Source organism: Homo sapiens, chromosome 7 (assembly GCF_000001405.40).
Source record: "Homo sapiens chromosome 7, GRCh38.p14 Primary Assembly".
In the NCBI taxonomy this organism is placed as follows: Eukaryota; Metazoa; Chordata; class Mammalia; order Primates; family Hominidae; genus Homo; species Homo sapiens.
The window spans coordinates 38,794,131-38,815,939 of record NC_000007.14 but is presented as its reverse complement, the minus strand read 5'-3'; the positions used below and the strand labels follow the sequence as shown (position 1 = coordinate 38,815,939).

The window sequence follows — 21,809 nt, the reverse complement described above, 5'->3', positions numbered from 1 at the left end:
ATATATATATATATAGTAGTTTATTGGGGAGTATTAACTCACAAGATCACAAAATGAGGTCCCGCAATAGGCCATCTCTGCAAGCGGAGGAGCAAGGAAGCCAGTCTGAGTCCTAAGCTGAAGAACTTGGAGTCTGATGTTCAAGGGCAGGAAACATCCAGCAAGAGAGAAAGATGTAGGCTGGGAGGCTAAGCCAGTCTAGTCTTTTCACGTTCTTCTGCCTGCTTTTATTCTGGCCATCCTGGCCAGATTAGCTGATTAGATTAGATTGTGCCCATGCAGATTGAGGGTGGGTCTGCCTCTCCCAGTCCACCAACTCAAATGTTAATCTCCTTTGGGCAGCACCCTCAGACACACCCAGGAGCAATACTTTGCATCCTTCAATCCAATCAAGTTGACACTTGTTATTAACCATCACAGTGATAATAGCATAAGTTCACATAGCTGAAATTTAAACCCAGGTGTTCTTATTAAAAACTCAGTAAGAATAAATAATTTTTCTTTTTTTTCTTTTTTGAGACGGAGTCTTGCTCTGTTGCCCAAGTTGGGGTGCAGTGGCATGATCTCGGCTCACTGCAACCTCCACCTCCCGAGTTGAAGGAATTCTCCTGCCTCAGCCTCCTGAGTAGCTGGGACTACAGATGCCCACCACCCTACCCAGCTGATTTTTGTATTGTTAGTAGAGATGGGGTTTTACCATGTTGGCCAGGCTGGTCTCAAACTCCTGACTTCAGGTGATCAGCCCACCTCGGCCTCCCAAAGCGTTGGTATTACAGGCATGAGCCACCATGCCTGGCTGAATAAAGAATTACATTTTATTTAATTCTCACTGGGAATGGTCACTGCTTTTTGTTTTAAATGACTTAAAACAACAAACATTTATTATCTCATACTTAGAAAATTCAAGAGTGGCTTAGCTGTTAGGCCCTGGCTGAAGGTTGCTCATGAGGGTTCAATTGGGATATTGGTTGGAGCTGCTTGACCGGGGCTGGAAGGTCAGGTTCTAAGATGTCTGCTGCCTTCTTAATAATCTGCTATACACTTAAAATATTGATAAATCACTTTGGTTTAAATATTTCCCTAGCATGTTTTGATGCAGTTTTGATTTTCAATTTCCAATTTCAAGAGTTAGAGATTTTACAGTTGTCCCCTATTTCTTGAAGGTATTAGAATAAAAGAACATACCAGAGATAATATGAGTGTTGATGTCCATGTGGTAGGACTGAAGATTTGGAGGAGAGATTTTGCTGTGTTGGTTTATGTTTTTTTGTTTTTGTTTTTGTTTTTTTTGAGACAGAGTTTTGCTCTGTCGCCCAGGCTAGAGTGCAGTGGCGCGATCTCGGCTCGCTGCAAGCTCTGCCTGCCGGGTTCACGCCATTCTCCTCCCTCAGCCTCCCGAGTAGCTGGGACTACAGGCGCCTGCCACCATGCCTGGCTAATATTTTGTATTTTTAGTAGAGACGGGGTTTCACTGTGTTAGCCAGGATGGTCTTGATCTCCTGACCTTGTGATCCATCCGCTCGGCCTTCCAAAGTGCTGGGCTTACAGGCGTGAGCCACCACGCCCGGCCTGTGTTCTTTAATAATCAGTGTATTCGTGAAGTTTAATAATTGCTTTTCTGCTGCAAGGGATACCTGTAGTCTTATCAAGTTTGCCACATTAATTCTGCTGCATGAGTGTCTTGTCTCCCTGTAGGATGTCTGGGTTAACTGTCAGTAACATATTCTTCATCCTTTTACTTAGCATTTGATATCATTTGCAGACATCCGTAGAAAGGACAGTGTGCATGCAGCAGTCTGGGTCAGAGTCCATTGAGTAGATCCATGAGCAGTGCAGGAACAACAGAGTAATCTAGCATCTAATTGTTGGTAAGATAACATGGGAAGAGCTTGGAATTTATAGAAAGTTGGACATTGTGATAAGCAATAAGATAAGTAGAATTCAAAAAATGCTGAACAGGCAGAACATCAGGGGTTTGGTTTGTCTCTTTGGTTGTCACTGACTACTTGACAAGCTGTTCTATGTTCAGTTTTCTATGAGAGAGTAATTTTTTTTTCCTATTCAGTTCTCCAAAAATGCATCTGTTGACATCTCGTTCCAAGCATACAGAAAAAAAGTTTATATGTATATAACATGAGAGTAAAATAAAAACAGTTAAGGTCATCTGGTGAAAAATTGAATTAAAAATGATTTTATTATTAACTTAGACATTTGGGACTAAAATAATTTAAAAGAAAACATACACTGAAGAGCTTAGTGTATTGTATGTAAGGCTTAGTATATGGGGCATGAGAAAAGCACATGTATGATATTTTAAAGTGAGGAATCCCGTGATTACCCATGTCAGTGTAAGTAATTGGTATTAAGTCATTATTTTTTTAGCTGTTTTAAAATAGTTTTATTGATACATAATTTGCATACCATGAGGTTCACCAGATGATAGTGTGCTGTTTAGTCGTTTTTAATATATTTACAGTGCTGTGTAACCATCAACGTAAGCTAATTTTAGAACACTTCCGTCACCCCAAAAAGAAACCTTGCACCTATTAGCAGTCACTCCCCATCTTCCTTCCTCCCCTCCTCTCATCCCTAGGCAACCACTAATCTATTTTCTTTCTCTATAAGTTTTCCTATTCTGGATATTTCATATAAATGGAATCATGTAATATATGGCCTTTGTGTCTAACTTCTTTCCTTATTTTTCTAGGTACATCAATGTTGTGGCATGTATCCGTATTTCATTCCTTTTTATGTCCAGATGATATTTCATTGTATAGATCTATCATGTTTTATTCATCCGTTTGTCGCTTGATTGACATTTGGATTGTTTCTACTTTTTGGCTATTATGAATAATGCTGCTATGAACATTTTTGTACAGCTTTTTGTGGCTGTGTGTTTTCATTTCTCTTGAGTATGGAATTGTTGAATCATATAGTAACTCTATGTTGGACATTTTGAAGAATTGCCAAACCGTTTCCCAAAGTGATTGTTCCATTTTACATTCTCATCAGAAATATATGAGGGTTTTAATTGTCTACATTCTCACCAATATTCATTTTATTTTCTCTTTTTGATTATAATCACTCTGGTATGTGTTAAGTGATATCTCATTGTGGTTTTGACTTTCTTCTAATGACTGATGATGTTGACCATGTTTTCCTGTGCTTATTGGCCATTTGCATATCTTCTTTGGAGAAATGTTTATTCAGATTCTTCGCCTATTTTTTAATTGGGTTTTTTTAATTATAGAGTTATAAACTTCAAAAATAAATTCTGGGTAGATATTCCTTATCAGATACATGATTCGCAAATATTTTTTCCCAGCCTATGAGTTGTCTTTTCACTTTATTGATGGTATCCTTTGAGGCACAGAAGTTTGTAACTTTAATAAAGTCACATTTATCTTAATTTTTTTGATACTTGTGCTATTGGTGTTGTATCTAAGAGATCACTGCCTGTTGCCTCTTCCAAGGTCATGAAGATTAATGCTTGTTTCTTTTAAGACTTTTGTATTTTTTACTCTTAAATTAGGTGTACAATATATTTTGAGTTCATTATGTATGATGTAAGACAGGAGTCCAAATTTATTCTTTTGCATGTGAATATCCAGTTGGCCCAGCATCACTGTTGCAAAGACTATTCTTTTCCCATTGTGTGGGCCCTTTGTGGAAAATTGGTTAACCATAAATGTTAGGGTTTATTTCTGGATTCTGAATTCTACCAATCTATATAGCTATCTTTATGCCAGTACCCCTTTTAGGTTTCAAAGCCACTAATTTTTCTGTAATTAGTTATGGGATGGCAGATGAACTACAAATGCTCCTCAATTTACAGTTGAGGTTGTCCTGATAAGCCTATTGTAAGTTAAAAATATTGTTAAGTCAAAAATGCATTTGATATACTTAACCTACTGAACATCACATCTTAGCCTAGCCTACCTTAATTGTAGTCAGAACACTACAGTTAGGCAAAATCATTTAACACAAAGCCTATTTTATAATAAAGCATTGAATATATAATGTAATTTATTGAAGACTGAAAGTGAAAAATTTAATCATTGTATAGGTACCATCATAAAGTTGAAAAATCATTAAGTCAAATAATCATAAGTCAAAGACTGTCTACTCTTAAAACTTTGGTTTGGGGTTCTTTCCCTTTAAAAAGCCATTATATATCATCATTCTTTAAGGAAAACCTGTTTTTATTCCCAGTACAATCAAAGCACCCTAGGGTAATACAAGCAAATTATTTCCACTTACTACAGAAGATATATATATATATGAATGAGATATATCTATCTATCTGTATATATGGAGGGGTGTGTGTGTGTGTGTGTGTGTGTATGACAAAACAAGTCTTTTAAAAGTGTGATAATAGTTTGTGATTTAGAATAATTTATTTAAAAAAGCCATTATAATTTATTTTACTTATGTTAAAGGCTTTAGAAACATGTAACTGTGTCCGCAATTTAATGACTTGTAACATACAAACTTTGATTTATTTGGATCCATTAAATTTTATCATGTAAATATGTATTTACTAAGTACTAAAAAGTACCATTTTCTTGATAAACTATAATGATCTGTTTGCATATGGTTAAATGGAGATTTTCAAAATGTGTATCAGCTTGGTGTGGTTTGCAGAAATCTCCAGAGAATTTCCTTTTTCTACATGTTGTGTGGTATGTACTTGTAAAGATTATTTATGCTTCATGTTTTTGACATTAGCGTGTTTTGTTTGTTTTGAAATAGATTTATTTAGTTGAGGTATTTTAGGATGTATTTTTCTAATTTCATTAAGAAATATATCTGATGTTAAAAACTAAAGGCATTTAGAAGGTTACATTAAGAAAGGAGGACTTGTGAAATGATCACTTTCATTTTGAAAGTGTTCGCAAATTTTTAGGAGGAGCTGCTCTTTTTGTAACTGAGTTATAGAGGTTTATATCTTTGAAAAATGAGATAACTACATTGGCTCAGTAGCTACTTCAATCCTTTCAGCTGCAATTTTAAACTAGCAGCAGAAACTAGGCAGAACAATTTTGAAAAGCCCAACATTTAGCAAATGGTTATAACCTTGCAATAATCATGTTATAGATATCAAGATCCCTCCTCTGTTGAGAACAGGTGGCAGATCACATAGGGGGAAAAGAGAATAAAGACATATGTCAGATAACTGAGAGGTTATGACTTTCTGCCTTTAAGAAATAATTTAATCTTCAAAAAATTGGAGCAAAGACTAGCCAAATGAAGGTGTAATGTGGAATAAAGACATTCTTAACCCTTAAGAACAGTGATCTCTAGACTGACAGCCAAATAAATCGTTGGAATTATATGCCACCTTCTACAAACAATGGGTTAAAGTGGCACAGAGACTAGAGGAACTAAGTAGAAAAATAGAGGACCACTATGAGATATTCGTGAAGTCATAAGAAAATTTGAGAGAGATGTCTATTAATATTTAATAGTTCTTTAATCTTATTACAATTTTTGATTCCTATAAAAATTATTAAAGTAATTAGAACATACTTTTCAAAGTATGCAACATACATTGCAGAACATAGCAATGTAACAGAAGAAACCCTGAAACTGTAGTTTGACAGCTATTTCCTTTTCAAAGTTCTGGCTTCTTAGGTGTTCAGAGATAGCTCTTTATCCACCAGGGACTAGGACTAGGAGGCTATAGTTCTGTCTGGCATAAACTTTTATTTTAGGTTTTCAAGGTATCTTCTTAGTAGTTGAATGCCATAGCTGGATTTATGGACTCCAGTGCTTGACACATGAGCATAAAAAGCTTATTCCATATTCTGTTTTGTTTCCATCTTGAAAAAAAAAAAAGAGAAAGCACATCTCTTAAAAGTGCCATTGGAGAGAGCTTTCAAACACGTGAACCAATGAATTTTTTTTGTAAGTGTAACCTTCTTTTGTAGCAAGAATTTTAATACAGGAGCATGGCAAATGAAGTTTCTATTTTAGAAATAAATCTGTCAAGTGAATGTTGTCTGGATTTTTTTTTTTAATTGTCCAGCTTTCCCTGTCAGCAGGTAAGCTTTAGCTTCATAGGACCTTTACTTTTGAACACTGAAATACACTTTATAATAACTGGTTCTACTACTTTGACAAATCATTAAATTGTCGCGATGCTGTTTGCAGTGGAGTTCATTTTTAGAAATCAGATAGTCAGCTGTTTGGCGTTACGGTGGGATAGAATGAGGGGACCTGGCCGCAGGGGCAAGTTGCTTTGTAAGCTGGAAAATGTCAGTCAGCAAACAAGGAAAGGACTGGAGTGAATGAAATGAGGAAAATTTGAAATGGCAAATTTTACCTGAAGGACAGAGATGGTAGTGTCAGCCAGCTTCTATAAGCTTCCAGCAGTGGTCTGCAAATAATAAATTGGATTTTGAATCCTTTTTGAGGGAGGATTCAATATGGGAAGCTTTTTATAAAACTGTAAATATTTAAAAAATTATTATTAAGATTGTTTTTAAATTTTATTTCTTTTGCCCATGTTATCAACATTTTTATTTTTTTCTAGCTTTATTGAGGTATAATTGACAAATTAAAATTTTATATTATATATATATATAAAATATACATATATATATATTTTTGTATTTTTAGTAGAGACGGGGTTTCACTATGTTGGCCAGGCTGGTCTCAAACTCCTGACCTCGTGATCCGCCTGCCTCGGCCTCCCAAAGTGCTAGGATTACAGGCGTCAGCCACCATGCCCAGCCAAATTATACATATTTAAGTTATACAATGATGATTTGATATATACCAAATGTATTTAGTATTTATTGTGAAGTGATTGCCACGTTCAAGCTAATTAACATTATCAGTTGCCTCACATAGTTACCATTTCTTTGGGGATGAGAATACTTAAAATCCATTGGTAAATTTTAAGTATTTAATATGGCATTATTAAATATAGTAACCATAGCGTACATTAGATCCCCGAATTTATTCATCTTAGAACTGAAAGTCTGTGCCCTTTTGGCCAGCATCTGCCAATAGCTCCCAGTCCCCTGGCTACAAATCTTTTTAGAATCTAGATAATCCGGTGAGCCTTTTCTTACCACTGCCATCCCTAAACATGAAGTGTAGGAGTGCTTCCTCGTGTGTTTGTTCATCTTTGGGTCAGATTGGAGCTGGGGTTTTGGTGGCTAGAAGGGTTTTGACATTAGCAGTTCCTCTCTGTCTCCTGTCCAGTGTTTGGATCTCTAGGATAGTATTTCCGCAAGTTTTCAGATGCTTGATTGTAGCCTTCTACCTGAAACTTCTTCCCACATTACTTACCATTGTAGTTTTCAAGTGAATCGTCTGAACATTTTTAAGAATTAAAATTAAGGCTCCCTAGTTAATTCACAGTTACACCACAGGCAGCCACCAATCTAACGGTTGCACGTTGAGGCATTGTAAATACATACCTTTATTTATTCTAGGTACTGTGTTGTAAATTGTGGTCTCATTCCTAGAAATGTATTTCATGCTGTCATCAATGTACCAAAATTGATTAAAAACCATTGATTAGCAGGAAGTAAAACACAAATGTAACCTTCACAAGCATTTTTTTAGATATGAAAAACCAAGCAATAAAATAGCTCTACTGTTTAAAGTATTTTTCGGTGAGTTTTCCTATGTATACTAAGCTATCTGAGGCTAAAAATAGAAATATAATGCTTAAATAAAAATCATTTTCAGTCGGAAAAACAGGTGTTCTTCATTGCTGATTGCTTTTTTGATGTCAATATGTAGGACTCCCAGAGTATTTGAATGGTATCTACAGCGGTCAGGGTGGGAGAGTTGGGTCCATAGCAACTTCATTTTCCTTTATGATTCCCATTGTCTCATATCCATCAAATGCCTGTTAAAAAATATACTTTTTTCTTTAATGAGTTCAGCTAACTTTTTCATATATTTCCATACTGATTGTAGCTTTCCCCTGAACTCTGATGTTAAAACTACCATCTCTCTTCCTTATAACCATCTTTTGCTCCTTGCTGATAATATCTTCTTTTGCATATGGAGAGTCCTGTGCTTATTCTTAAGTATTTTGAGCAAGGACTGCAAGTGTCATTGCCAGTTCAGAGGTGTTCATTAGATATTCTTGTGGGATTTAACATCAGCTGATTCATTAACACAGAGGTTCTCTTTCTCTCTTTTGCTTTAAGAGAAGGCTGTATAAAGCAAGGGGTCACAATTGCAGTCATTGTTAGTTGGTGTCGTGGTACAAACTAAATCACAGTCATTTCACAGGAGTATTTGGTTTGAATCTGCTTCCTGAATACAACCTTGTGTCATGCTTCATGTTAGGTGCTGTGTGTACACAGGATCTTGATTTCAGAAATGGTGGTAGGCTTCCAAAAGCATATAGATAGGATGGTGTAGGTAGAATATAGTTAATAAGACCATTAGTCAGAATAGTGACTTGACAGGAAAATGAGTGTATTTGTATATTCACATACAACACTATGGGGTAAATTTACAGTCCTTTATTTGTCTTTAAGCCTTTTGGATCCCCCTCGACCTGTATGGTTTGTTTGTTTTCCTTTTAATTTTCTAACTCAGTTTCAGCCAATTTTCTTGATATTTGTAACAGTGAAAATTGGTACAAGCTGTCTAACAATAGTGAATTAGCTGTGTCAGTGCCCTGCGGCCAAAGATCACCAGGAGTACCCCATATGGTTTTAGGAAGATGTTAGAAGAATTGTAGGATTTAGGCTGGTGTGAGGTGATTTTGGGGAGGTTTAAGGCATCAGGGCTTTGCTCTAGATTGGATGCTGTCATGAAGCATGAGTAATTCTACAGCTGGGCATTTTGATAAATCTTATCTAGAAGGAGAAAAGCCTAAGCCAAAGCCAAAGTCATAACTGGTAAAGAAGCAGCAGTCTGTCATTTTAGCCAAAGTGGGAGGTGTTTGGTCATTGCCACGACTTGGAAAATGTTCATGTCTTGTTTGCATTCAGACATGATTATGGAGTGGTCTTGCTTCTGTCCTGGTCCTTCATGGTCATGGAGTGGCCTCGGCTGATGTTGGTTTTGTGTGAAATTGTTTATATTCATCAAGAGAACATCAGAGCCCTGCTGTGGGTGCCAGGCTAGCTTCTGGTTGTCAGCTTTTCTCTTTCTCAGTTGGAATAAATAAAATTCTCAACATTTGTTAGATTGCTTCTGTTGAGGTACTTTTCTAAAATATATGTATGGTCTGATTATCCTTTTCTGTAGAAATAAAATTATGTATGTAGATGTATTCATGGAAGGCTGTACACCAAATTATTAACAATATTTGTGTCTGGGCAGGATTATGAATGTTCTTTCTGACCTTCATTGGCTTTTATTTACTTTTTTGTAGTAAGCATGCATTATTTTTATAATAATAAAAAGTAAAGGAATGTTTAGAGTAATCTCAATTATTTTAGATCTTGTTTTAACTTATCACTGTACATCATATGAAATTCCCTACATTATTGATGTCTATTCTTAGCTCAGTGTTATTGAATAGTTGCATAATATTCTATCTTATGGATCTATTTGATTTTCTTAACCATTCTTCTGTCTTTGGACCTTTAGGTTATATCCAGTGTTTGGCTGTCATAAATCATGATGTGGTGAACCTTGAAATCTTTGGCCTTTCATCTGTTCCTCTGAATGTTTTCCTACCATTGATTCTTAGGATTGGAATTACTGAATCAAAGGTTATGATAATTTTTTAGGCATTTAATATGTGTTGCCAAGTAAAATTGTATTCCAGAAAACTTACACCAGTTTACATCAGCTATGTGTGAGTACCTATTTTACCACATGCTCATTGCCAATCTGATATATAAAGATACTCCATTTTTCTATTTTATAGTATATTTGAATTTTTAGTGATTTTGAACATTTTTATTTATTAGCTAGTTCTGTAGCTTCCTTTGTGATTTGTCTGATTGTATTCCTTGCTCAGGGCAGCTTTTAATATTACCATAGAAGCCAGGACAATGAAGGCTGTCCACTTGATATTTACTGTCAGTTTGAGCACAAATTATTGCTGCTTACTGAACAGCCTGCAGCCTTTTCTCCAATTTTGGCCAAATCTGGAATAATTATTGTTGTTCCCAGGGAGGCATTATATAGGAGTCTAAATGAGGCTTTAGAGTAGACCCTGAAGTGTGTAGAGAGGATGAACATATGTTACCATGTAGATGTGAGTCTGCCCCAAAACCATCAGTTCTGCCACTTCCATGAAAGCTATCAATGCTGACCAGTGTGTCCAGTTAATGCCAGTTTTTCATAGAGATGGTAAGAAAGTGGATTATAATGCTTGAAATTGGGTTCATTTGACTCATTTTCTTCTGCAGATAGTCTCCTGATTTTTTTTTTTTTCAACTTTTGGGCTTTACTTTGTTTTTGTTTTTGTTTTTTTGAGACAGACTCTCACTCTGTTGCCAGGCTGGAGTGCAGTGGCGCGATCTCGGCTCACTGCAATCTCTGCTTCCCAGGTTCAAGTGATTCTTCTGCCTCAGCCTCCCGAGTAGCTGGGACTACAGGCGTGCACCACCACGCCCAGCTAATTTTTGTATTTTTAGTAGAGACGGAGCTTCACCATGTTGGCCAGGATGATCTCCATTTCTTGACCTTGTGATCCGCCCACCTCAGCCTCCTGAAGTGCTGGGATTACAGGCGTGAGCCACTGCGCCTGGCCTGTTTTACTTTGAATTGTGTGAAGGGCTTGTTCAAATACATAAACCCGTGTTTTCAGGTAACTGTCTGCATTATTCAAGACTTAGCAATTTTGCATCTCTTTTTGATATACTCACTGTGCAAGGATTTTCACCAGTCATCAGTGATTGAGATTATATGTAGTTAAAGTTAGAGATATTTGTTCATTGCAGAGAACATTAATTCAAGTTTAATCACCCAGTGGATGACTTTTCTGTTATCTCTACCCTGATGCTGAGGGTGTTTGACCTTGGGCCCAGCCCGGAAAATGTATCCTCAGATAGCTGCAAACTGAAAAACAGACTCAACGTGTTTGGTATGAACAGCCAGCTCTATTAAATCTGTGGGATCCATATGGAAGATTTTTTTTAAGTGGTAAAATTACTTAGAAAGTGTCCTAGTCATTTCTGAAATCGCACTTGTAATTATGTGCTTGCATTTGCAGCAATTGCAGATTAGTAGTCTAAATAGGGGACTACCTCACATGCTGGCTTGATTGCCAAGCCCACATAGGTGTGTAGGTAGATACTGCATAGGTGGGTAGGTAGATCTTTATCTAGCTGTCATCTCTAGTTTTTTAATGCAAAGAAAGCTGCTCCTAAATGGCACGTCCGTTGTTTAACTTATTTTGTTTTCATGGAAGCTTTGCTTGGATTTCTTGGTTGCTGAATTGATCGTTACCTTATGTTGATACAGTGTTTTTTAAATTTCAGAGCATTGGTCTGTCTATATAGGTTTCGCAGAATTAACTGCAAGGGCATGTCCAAAGTCTGTGTTGCTAATGCAGGAACGGAAAACCAAATACCACATGTTCTCATTTGTAAGTGGGAGCTAAATGATGAGAACACATGGATACATAGAGGGGAACAACACACACTGGGGCCTATTGGAGGATGGAGGATGGGAGAAGGGAGAGGATCAGAAAAAATAACTAATGGATAGTAGGCTTAATACCTGGGTGACAAAATAATCTGTACAACAAACCCCTGTGGCACGAGTTTACCTACATAACAAACCTGCACATAAACCCCTGAAATTAAAATACAAGTTAAAAAAAAAAGTCTGTGTTGCATAGGAATGGTGTTTACTAAAATATTGTTTGTAAGCAAGTGGCATTTGAGTGGGCTCTAGGAACCCTTGTGCACAGAGGTTTTCCGTCGTACCAACATTTTGTCTATACTGAACTGGTTTTAAACATGTTAAATTCAGATAAAGGAGATTGAAGCATTATAACTTGTTCAGAAAATAACCACTGAATTTAAGGAAATAATATATTTGGGAAGTTCTCTTTTTCTTCCCACATGTTTATATTCTATCTTGATGGACACAGTAGAGCTGTTGGTGGTGTTTAGAGAAGCTGCGTGTTTGAAACTTTGGCACTAAGCCTAAGCACGAAGCAAAACAAAGACACTTACCTGCTCCATATGGGTTCCTGGTCATTCATTCCTGCCTCCTTCAGGGTTCAAGACCCCATTTGCCATCAGTAGCCAGCCACCATCCTAGGTCTTCTCCACACTCACTCATATTTTTCTCACTTGCCTTCTTGACTTTTAAAATTTTGCTCATGATCTTTTCTAATCTTGAATATTTAAATCCTTTTGTAACAAGACTTTCCCATTGTTATCCCCTTTGTTTATTTTTATTGAGACAGTTTTATTTGCTGGGTTTTACTATTCTCTATTTCTCTATTTTATTACCTGGATCTTCTGCACCTTCCTGACGTAGCACAGGTCCTCCTTTGTGAAATATTTGTTTTCTTCAAGCCCCTTGGTTCTCCCCGTGGGAACACACATGGTATCTAAGCCTTGACCCTCGGCTGAAGCCCCTGCTGAATCTTGCCCACTTTCTTGTCTGCCTCAAAGCTAGCAGTGTGGTCAGTATTTAGGAAGCCTGAAGGAGCCAAGTGATTTATCAACTTGAAAGATCACAAGGTGATTAAAACAGGGCCAATGATACTCTTTTCAACTCCATCAGGGAAGAGTGAGTGACAAGTAATGATGGGCGTTAGGTGACCAGAATCGGGGACTTCATTACAGCCTGATAAGAATCTTGCCACACATGTGGGAGATTCTGGGCTCCATGTCCTTATACCACTCTGTAGAGTAGGAAAGCACTAGATAGATTTATCAGCACAAAACAGAGGAGAATAAAGTATATTGCTGAGGATGTGAGGGCTCATATTGAAATATAAGTATTGAGAGTGCTGACTGCCAGAATGTGGATTTATGGGAAATAAAGCCCTAAAATACTTTTTCCAACAAAAAAATAGACCTCTTGGAAACAGCTTTTCCTCTCTATGTACTTAGCTCCCATTGAGCTTAAATTGCTCTTAGTATTGTGATAATGACAATTCAATATTACAGGGTATGGAAGATGAACCAAATAAATTAACCAGCTGCTTTTAAGCGTAGTTTTTTTCAATGGCTTACCCCATAAAATGCTTTGTAGAACATTCGTGCTCAGTAGGTCTGTGGGCAGTTTTATGACTGGAAGGAAAAAATGGATATTATTAAATGTCAGTGAAGTACAGGCAGGTAGTTTTGAGGTAGTTAAATTAGTATAGAATGTTTGTAAGAAAAGGAGTTCATGTTTTCTTAAATCACCAAAGCAAAGCTTTCCTTGGCATTCTTGTCAGAAAATATGTTTCTGCTTGAAATTCACAGAGATTAGGATAAAAAAGCCAATGGAGAGTGGATCATTTGGCCATTCTCCCTTCTGTATGAAACTCTATGTCAAATCAAAGCAAATCCTGCATGAGAGTTTCAGAGATATAGAAATGACTCCATAATTACTAGCAGGCATTTAAGGTTTTATACTATGTAGGATAGGAAAAGTGGACTCATGAGTGAAGAATAAAGTAGGGTGGAGAGGAAAGGCAGAAATAAATGTTCGACGGGGCCAGGCAGGTAACATCAAGGAGAGAAGCAGGCCACATGCGAGAGAGCCTGGAGAAGTAGGCGCTGTGGCAATCCAGAGAGCCTTCTGCAGGCCTGCAGACACATTTCAGAAATTACCGTTCAGGCCAAACGTGTGGCCAGTTCGTGTCTCTGAAATAAAAGAGCTGCAATTACTTAAACCTAATAGAGGAAGGCTAACCTTAAAAGCAGCTTTCAAATTTTTGGCAAGTTGTGCACAAATTCTATCTGCTGGCCTTCAGCAAAGGGAAATAGACTGACATTACATGCCTGGATATGGGATCCATAGAAGTGAGCCCTTTCTAAAAGCAAGGCTGTGTTGATTGTGTGAATTAGTCATTGGGTTCTTTAAATTTTTGAGATTGGAGTAGATTCCATTGTGTTCAAAATATTTTAGGAGTATTACTAACTGTAAAGATAGGCTGAGTAACTGAAACGTTTTGGGAAATCGTGTAGCTCCTCCTGTAGCAAACGCATTGTGTGTATGGTCAGAGAAGGAAAGAATTAAGACTAGTAGACTCGGATAGCCTACTTAGTATTTAATATTTATTATGCCTATGGGTCTAGCAAAGTATAAGATATGATCCTTTTCCCCAATGCACTGGTTGGGGAAATGCAAGGTAAACACACCAATCTCAGTGAACAAGATTTAATAGTTAGTTGTGCAGTGAGAAAACCAGTGTGACCATAAAACATATACAGAACCAATAAATTGGGGGAAAATTATTTGACTTACAAAAGAATTCTCTTAAATGATGACTTTCCTTAGTATGTTTATGATGACCTACTTTATTTAGTATTTCCTTAGTATGTTTATGATGACCTACTTTATTTACAGATATTTTCTTATTTTTCATCCACAAAATATAAAGTGATAGGGACTTAGGCTATTTGAAAAACATAAGAAAATAACGTGAATCCTGTCAAAACTTGTAATATTAATTAGTTAAAATTTGTTTCATTTACAGAGGTTAATTTTTAGCCCCCCTCCATTTTTGAGCACACATCAGTTGCATAGAATGGCATGTGCCTGTCTGCATTGTAGAAATGTCATTGGGAGAAGCTTCTTTGCTCTTTTAATTGCATGTCAGAGCAGGGTCCACAAGGTTTTTGGGACTCAATCCTGAGATGGCCTGGATTCAGAATTCGTCTGTCCTTCCTTTGCCTCCTCCCCTCTGCTGGAAGTTTTTAGTTTCTTGTTTTGGGAGGTAGAGTAGGAGGCAAAAGGAGGCCAGAGTTCTGCCACCTCTGCTTCCTCCCATAGCTCGGAGCACACCAAGTATAACAGAAAGGGTCCATTGGAGTGAGCTTGCATTTTGGTAGGAACTGCAACAAGATTTAATTAACAGTTTTCTGAAGAAGTTAATGTTTTATTTGAAAAGTATATACAGTTTATGTAAATTCATTCTAATACATGTTCAATATGCCTCAAACATTACTTCTTTAAGTTCCAGTGAATTTTTATTTATTTATTTATTTATTTTGAGACAGAGTTTTGCTCTTGTTGCCCAGGCTGGAGTGCAATGGCACAATCTTGGCTCACTGCAACCTCCTCCTCCTAGGTTCAAGCGATTCTCCTGCCTCACCCCCTGGAGTAGCTGGGATTACAGGTGCCGGCCACCATGCTTGGCTAATTTTTTTGTATTTTTAGTAGAGACGGGGTTTCACCGTGTTGGCCAGGCTGGTCTCAAACTCCCGACCTCAGGTGATCCACCCACCTCGGCCTCCCAAAATGCTGGGATTACAGGCATGAGCCGCTGCACCCAATCTCCAGTGAATTTTTGATATTACTTTGTTGTTTCATTTTAACTATTCCCCTAAGTTTTCCTGATTGTAAAAATAAGAGAATGGATTTTCATTCCCATTAATGTATTAACATAAAAAATTCATATATTTAGTGCAGAATAATTATAAAATAAAAATAATATAAAATTTCAGCACGCATTTATCGAATTAGGATTACTTTGTCATGTATCTTTTAGATTTTATAATATATGTGAATACACATTCACATTTTATTTTAAGGACATTGTATTGAATACTATTTTGTCATCTGCTTTTTTATTTAATATGCCCTCATAGCTTTTTCTGTTAATGAAGATACATGCATAAAATAATAATGGATACATACTCATTGTGTGTGCTCCATCGTATTATGCTCCGTCATTCCTCAGTTGTTAGTCCATTTCTGGCTGTTATAAATAGCTCTACATGCATCTTTACTAACTTGTCTGATCATTTCTTAGCGTAAGTTTCTAGGTAGCAACTTCCTGGTGTCATTTTTTTTAAAAGCTTTGAGTCCATGATGCCAAATGATCCTCCAGAAAGACGGTGTCCAAGACCGCAGTTCAGTAGTTTGAAGATACCTCTTTCTCTGCACATACTCCACTGTACCCCCCACCCCACATACCCATGCCTGATCATATCATTTTGATTCGTCTTTATCAGTTCATTCTTTTTCCTTCATCTATCAATTCTAGAAACATTGCTGTATTGTTTTGAGTGTTGATTTTATAAAATGTTTTACTATCTGTCTGGATGAATCCATTCCTCCCCCTAAATTACTTAATTTTTTAAAAATTCCTGTTATTCTCTCATTTTTTAAAATGAATTTTTAGCATTTTTTGAATTTCTAGAAATAATCCCTTTGGATTTTTTTGGACTTGCATTAAAATTATAGGTTAATTTAATGAGACTTAAGCTCTTTAGTGAGAATTGGAGTCTTACTATCCATGAATAATGTGCCTTTCTGTTTATTGAGTTCTCCTTTCGTATCCCTCAATGAAATGTTTTTGTTTTGTTGTGTAGCGACATGTCATGTTCATTATTAACTTTTAAATCTAGATTTTCCTTTTTTTTACAACTTTGATTGTATCCCATAAAGTTTAGGTTTATAGTATTTCTCATTTTCAAAGTACTCTGGTTACCATATGAATTCCTCTTTTACCCAAAGATTGAGAATGTTTTTTGTACCATTTTTGTTTTGTATTGTTCTTTCTCTCATTCTTCGTTATTAATTTCTTAATTTTGTTGTTACATGAGAATTATGATGATAAGAATTAGATTTTACTTTTAAGTTCTTTTGTTTTTTTTGAATGTCTTGTTATTCATATGGAGTCACAAGTTGGGGATTACTCCCTGGATAATTTGTATTCTTTTAAATGCAGGATTTTTCCATAGGTGCCTGCCTTTTGTCAGAGTGCCTGCTTTCCTTCCTACCTGGGACAGCTACAGTGCTGGCTACATGCTTGGGGACCCAACCCTTTGTGTTTCAGAGTAAGACTGGCCACTCCCCTTCGTTCCTGCCCCATTACACTGAGTGTAGGGGGTGTTGTGGCATTCTAGTACCTGCCTGACTTCCCAGGCAGGCTTTTTCTGGGGGAATGAGTTAAATCATGGCCTTCACTGGAGTCTTATTATTAGCATATTTTACATAATTTTTAGCTTAAAATTTGGAGCATATTTAACTTTTTCAACACAGGTGCAGACTGTTCTCCTCTTAGTACTACATTGGTCATTTCTAGGTGGGAATTGGTGAGGGAAAGGAATTCGATGCTGTGTCCCACCCTGCTGTTCTCCCGGCCATCCTGCCAACCCTTCATTCCAGCAGGTGATTATTGAGCACTCACTGTGCTTCACCCATTTCGGACGATCACCTCCATCAGATCCAGGCCACAGATAGAAGATAGACATTTTGATCTTATCAATTCATCATGTTTAATTGTTGTGGCCAGGCGTGGTTGCTCACACCTGTAATCCCAGCACTTCGGGAGGCCAAGACCGGTGGATCACCTGAGGTCAGGAGTTCGAGACCAGTCTGGCCAACATGGTGAAACCCCGTCTCTACTAAAAGTACAAAAATTAGCCAGACATGGTGGTGCATGCCTGTAATCCCAGCTACTTGGGAGGCTGAAGCAGGAGAATCACTAGAACCCAGGAGGTGGAGGTTGCAGTGAGCTGAGATGGTGCCACTGCACTCCAGCCTGGGTAACAGAGTGAGACTCCATCTCAAAAATAAATAAATAAAAATAATTGTTTTTAGCTGCCTGTCTTTAGTGGGGCATAATCTTCTCTGTAGCAGGAACTGTATGCTCAGCCTTTCTCCCCCTTTCCTACATTTCTGGGGTCTGTTCTCTGTTTTCTGCAAATGGGAGGAAGAGGCTGAATCACAGTCTGGGGACACTCCCGAAGGCCTCTAACTGTGGGGGTAGGAAGGCATGGTAGTAGTGACTTCTGAATTGGAACCTGGGATAGGAGAGGACAGGGTGGGTTAGAAGGTCTCTGAGAATATATCTGATGGGAAGATGGGGCTAAGTATGGTCAGAAGAATCCCTGCCTCCAGTCTCCCTGTGGAAGTTGTGAAGTCACACAACTTCAAACTGTCGTAGCATTTTAAAGTAACTGTACTTTGCTTACTTGTGATGATGGACATCATATTTAATTTTAGGGATTTTATTTTGTGCTTCCTCTGCCTGTATTAGTCTATTGAGAAAGATATACAGGAAATACAAATAAAATGTGAATTTACTCTCTTTCCCCTGTTAACCTGTTTCCCCTGCCTCTTTTGGGGTGGGTAGAGGACATAAAATATACTAAGGTAGACTGAAATTGCTTGTAGTGGTAGGAATTTTAGTAATTCTGTTATGGAATCTGTTGTCAGCATTTGCTTTGAAAGGATAAACATGTGTTTCAGGATTGCATGCCTTAAGTTACATACTGTATAAATGTCTTTTCTTAAAGGATTTAAATGGAATATGTCAAGAAAAATATTTATTGTGTTCTTAATAATGTATGACTTCCTAGAATTACATCTTTATTAATCGTAGAGGTTTTTGACCAGTTATATTTTATATTAAAATTTATCCAGCAGGTTTTTTGAATGATAGAATCTTCCCGTTAAAATAAAGACCCTAGATACTATGAAATTTCTAAAGAAGCTTAATTCCAATTGTTTTTTTATTTTGTGACATGAATTACTGTTCAAAAGTCATTGTTCAATTATTTGAGTCAAATGAAAAACATAGACTGTTTCTATTACAGTTTAATCTGTGACTAATATCTTATTTTCAGTGAAAAACTTAAAAGAGGTTTTGATTTCCCAATTTACAAAATAAATTAGTTCCCGGACAATCATTTGAAGAACTTTTGCGATACAAATCTTTTGATTAACTAATGTGCATTATTTTCCATGAATCTTGGTGTTTTGGTGCCACCTTGTGGCTTGGCCTTGTAGTAACTTCAACACTCATCCATTTTAAACAACTTCCTGGGGAGAATATGATGTGCTAGGAATTCTTTCCAAGGTACAAATAACATACTACTGTAAGTCTACATTAAAGACGTCGAGAGTGACTTGTTTGTTATTTGGTCACGAGGATAGGTAAAACTAGTAAGTAAAGAACCTGATACATTATTTTCAGTTTCTAAGATTCTTTGTTTATGCTTTTTGTCCCTAGCTGCTACTGTTTGAACGGTCTTGGATGAACAGATGGAAGTCTGCTGTTCTGCATGAAGGGGAAGGGAACATAAGGAGTGTGAAGTGGAGAGGCCATCTGATTGCTTGGGCCAATAATATGGTAAAAAATATGCCTCTGTCTTCCTAATGCTTGTTCAGTGGCAGAAGAATGGCCAACTTGATAGGGCTGTAATGAAGGGAAAAGATGCCACTTGCTGTGGTGGTGATTTCTAAAGGGTGTAAGGACGATTGGTATCATACCTAGGAGGTTAAAGAAATTAGATTGCTTTTGGCTTTCATAATATAGTAATTCCCAACATATTCTGGAATCTATTTTAGAGTAAGAAACCTGAGGCATGGAGAGTAGCCAAGAAAATGAAAAGCTATCTTAATAATTGAAGGACTGCATTGGGAATGGGTCTTGAAAATATCATTTGCCTGTTGGCCAAAGGCAAGTAAGAGTTGATATGAAACAAGTGCAGAATATTGCTGATTTCTCTTTTACTCCCAGTATAATCATAGACAGAAGTATAGACCTGTCTGTAAGAAAGTGGATCGTAATTTTCAGTGCTGCATTTTAACTTAAAGTTTACTTGCTATGAATTGGGGCTAGTAGGAAGTTTTAAAAATGGTCTTTTTGACATCTGGCATATCTTTTGAAACATCAAGGTATAATTTAGTAAATCGGTTCTATTCAGTTTTAAATGGTAGAAATCTGCCTAGACTCTACCTTTTTATTCTGGACTTTTCTTACTTCTCCTGGGTCACGATGAAGGTAAAACAAAGCTGTGGTCTCTTGGTTCATTTTTAGTTAGCTGCTTGCCTGATGTTTTCATTTGAGAACTTTAAAATGTCAGATGTAGTTTTCTTTATATAGGTGGCTTTTCAGACTCAAAGCCTTTCTAAAAAACAAACTTCATTTTTCATGGTGGAACGATAAAATTAGAAATGTTACTTGTCTGTCAGTTTGGAAATGCAGCTATTGATGTTTGTACATTTCATGTTTCTGTTGGGTTTGAGTCACCCATGCCATCTAAGAAAATCTCCTTTGTCCAGAAAGAAGGGTGGAGGTTTCCTTGTGGTTTTAGTTCCCACAGGGTTTGTGTGGAGCAGGAGCATTTTCCTTGCATGCTCAGTAAACACTGCTAATATTTCTCCGTGCTGGTTATTGGTAGTATGTAGCAGGGGCTGTTAATAAGTTTTCTGTTACTTTCCTCCTGAGTAGAGGATGCTTACTGCTGTATTATTTTCCAGGGTGTGAAGATTTTTGACATCATCTCAAAGCAAAGAATCACCAATGTGCCCCGGGATGATATAAGTCTTCGCCCAGACATGTATCCCTGCAGCCTCTGCTGGAAGGACAATGTGACACTGATTATTGGCTGGGGGACTTCTGTCAAGGTGGTTTTGCTTGTCTTTATAATAAGTCCGTGTTGTTATAGATCCACTGAGGGTGGTCCAAAGGACTGTGAGTCTTGATTGGCTTCTAGGACCCAAATCTTTTCACTTGGATGTTATTGTGACGTGATTACCATTTAATGCTCAAATTATTTCCTGTGCATAAGTTTTAAGATGTATTCTTTCTTTTCCATGGCATGTAAAACTATTTGTGAACTTTTTCGTGTTGAGAATGGTGCTGTCTTTTTCAATCTTCTTTTAATTTCTCACATCCCAGCTGGCCTTAGCTATTTACAGAACATGGGGTTAGTTTTGTTGTTTAGTCAGGTTTTCTTCTCTTTATTATTCTTTTCATTTTCCCTTAGCTTTGACCCTTCACTTCTTCATTAGAGTTATTGATAGTGGAGAGAGAAGGTTAAAATTAAATCATCCTGCTGCTTGGTAATAATTTGATAGAGTAGAGACCCAGACTTATCATCAATAATAAGATTTGGGCATATTTTCTGAAGTTTAATTATCTGACCCTTATGCGCCTGGGTAAATGAAATTTAGCTGTTCTGTGAAAGGGGGCCCAAAGCTCATTCACATTTATTTTATGCCTACTAGTGCTTCTGTTATATTAGATACTTCAGAGCCAAAAGTTGTTTCCCTTTAAAAAATAGACAGCTTAATTCGAACAAAATAAACTAAAAATTAGTGGAAGTATAAAAATGGCATGAGAGAGTATCCCAGCAGTAGTCTCATGGAAGAGCTCAGGCTTTGAGGCCAGACAGACCTGGGATCAAGTCCAGCTTCTCCATTTTCCTTTGGGATCCTCTGTGAGCCTTACTGTCCTCATCTGCAAAGTGGTAGTGCTAATTGTTCTCACATCACAAGTTTTGGGGAGAAATAAATGAGCCAATGCATGTAAAGAGTTTTGCATAGAATCTGATGTAATTGCTTAATAAATGTTAGCTGTCATTATTATATAAAGTTCTAGCAATGTCATGAAGGGGACGTGGCTATTTAAAATGTACTCTTCTCTGGAAAGGGAAAGTGGAAAATTATTAATGTAATGATTGTTATTAGCAAAACAAACATTGTTACACTTCAGGCCCTCCCAGCCCTCATGTTGTTATCATTCAGGTTCTTTTTTCTTCATGTGTTACATGAACACAACCTGATTTATATTTAGGGTAACAGGAAGGAAACTGTGCCTATATCGTAGGATGGAAAAAGGGATTCCCTGGGCTCCCTGTCCCACGTGTGTGGTTACTCATCCAATAAATTTATATTCTTAGTATTTTAAAAATCCCTTAAATGGACCAGGTTGCTTGTTAGTTTTAAAGTTCTGATTT

General features: G+C 37.1%; 1 protein-coding gene across 3 annotated transcripts in view; it reads left to right on the top strand.

Annotated features, from left to right (window-relative positions):
• Positions 1–21,809, top strand: part of VPS41 (VPS41 subunit of HOPS complex) — a 186,218-nt gene that overhangs the window by 93,252 nt on the left and 71,157 nt on the right. For all 3 annotated transcript variants that reach the window (XR_007060008.1, NM_080631.4, NM_014396.4), the window contains 2 exons: positions 19,076–19,195; positions 20,329–20,475. Coding sequence is in view for 2 of the 3 variants with exons in the window: in NM_080631.4 (NP_542198.2) it covers positions 19,076–19,195; positions 20,329–20,475 (267 nt within the window). In the remaining variant the exon portion in view is untranslated. The remainder of the gene's footprint in view (positions 1–19,075; positions 19,196–20,328; positions 20,476–21,809) is intronic.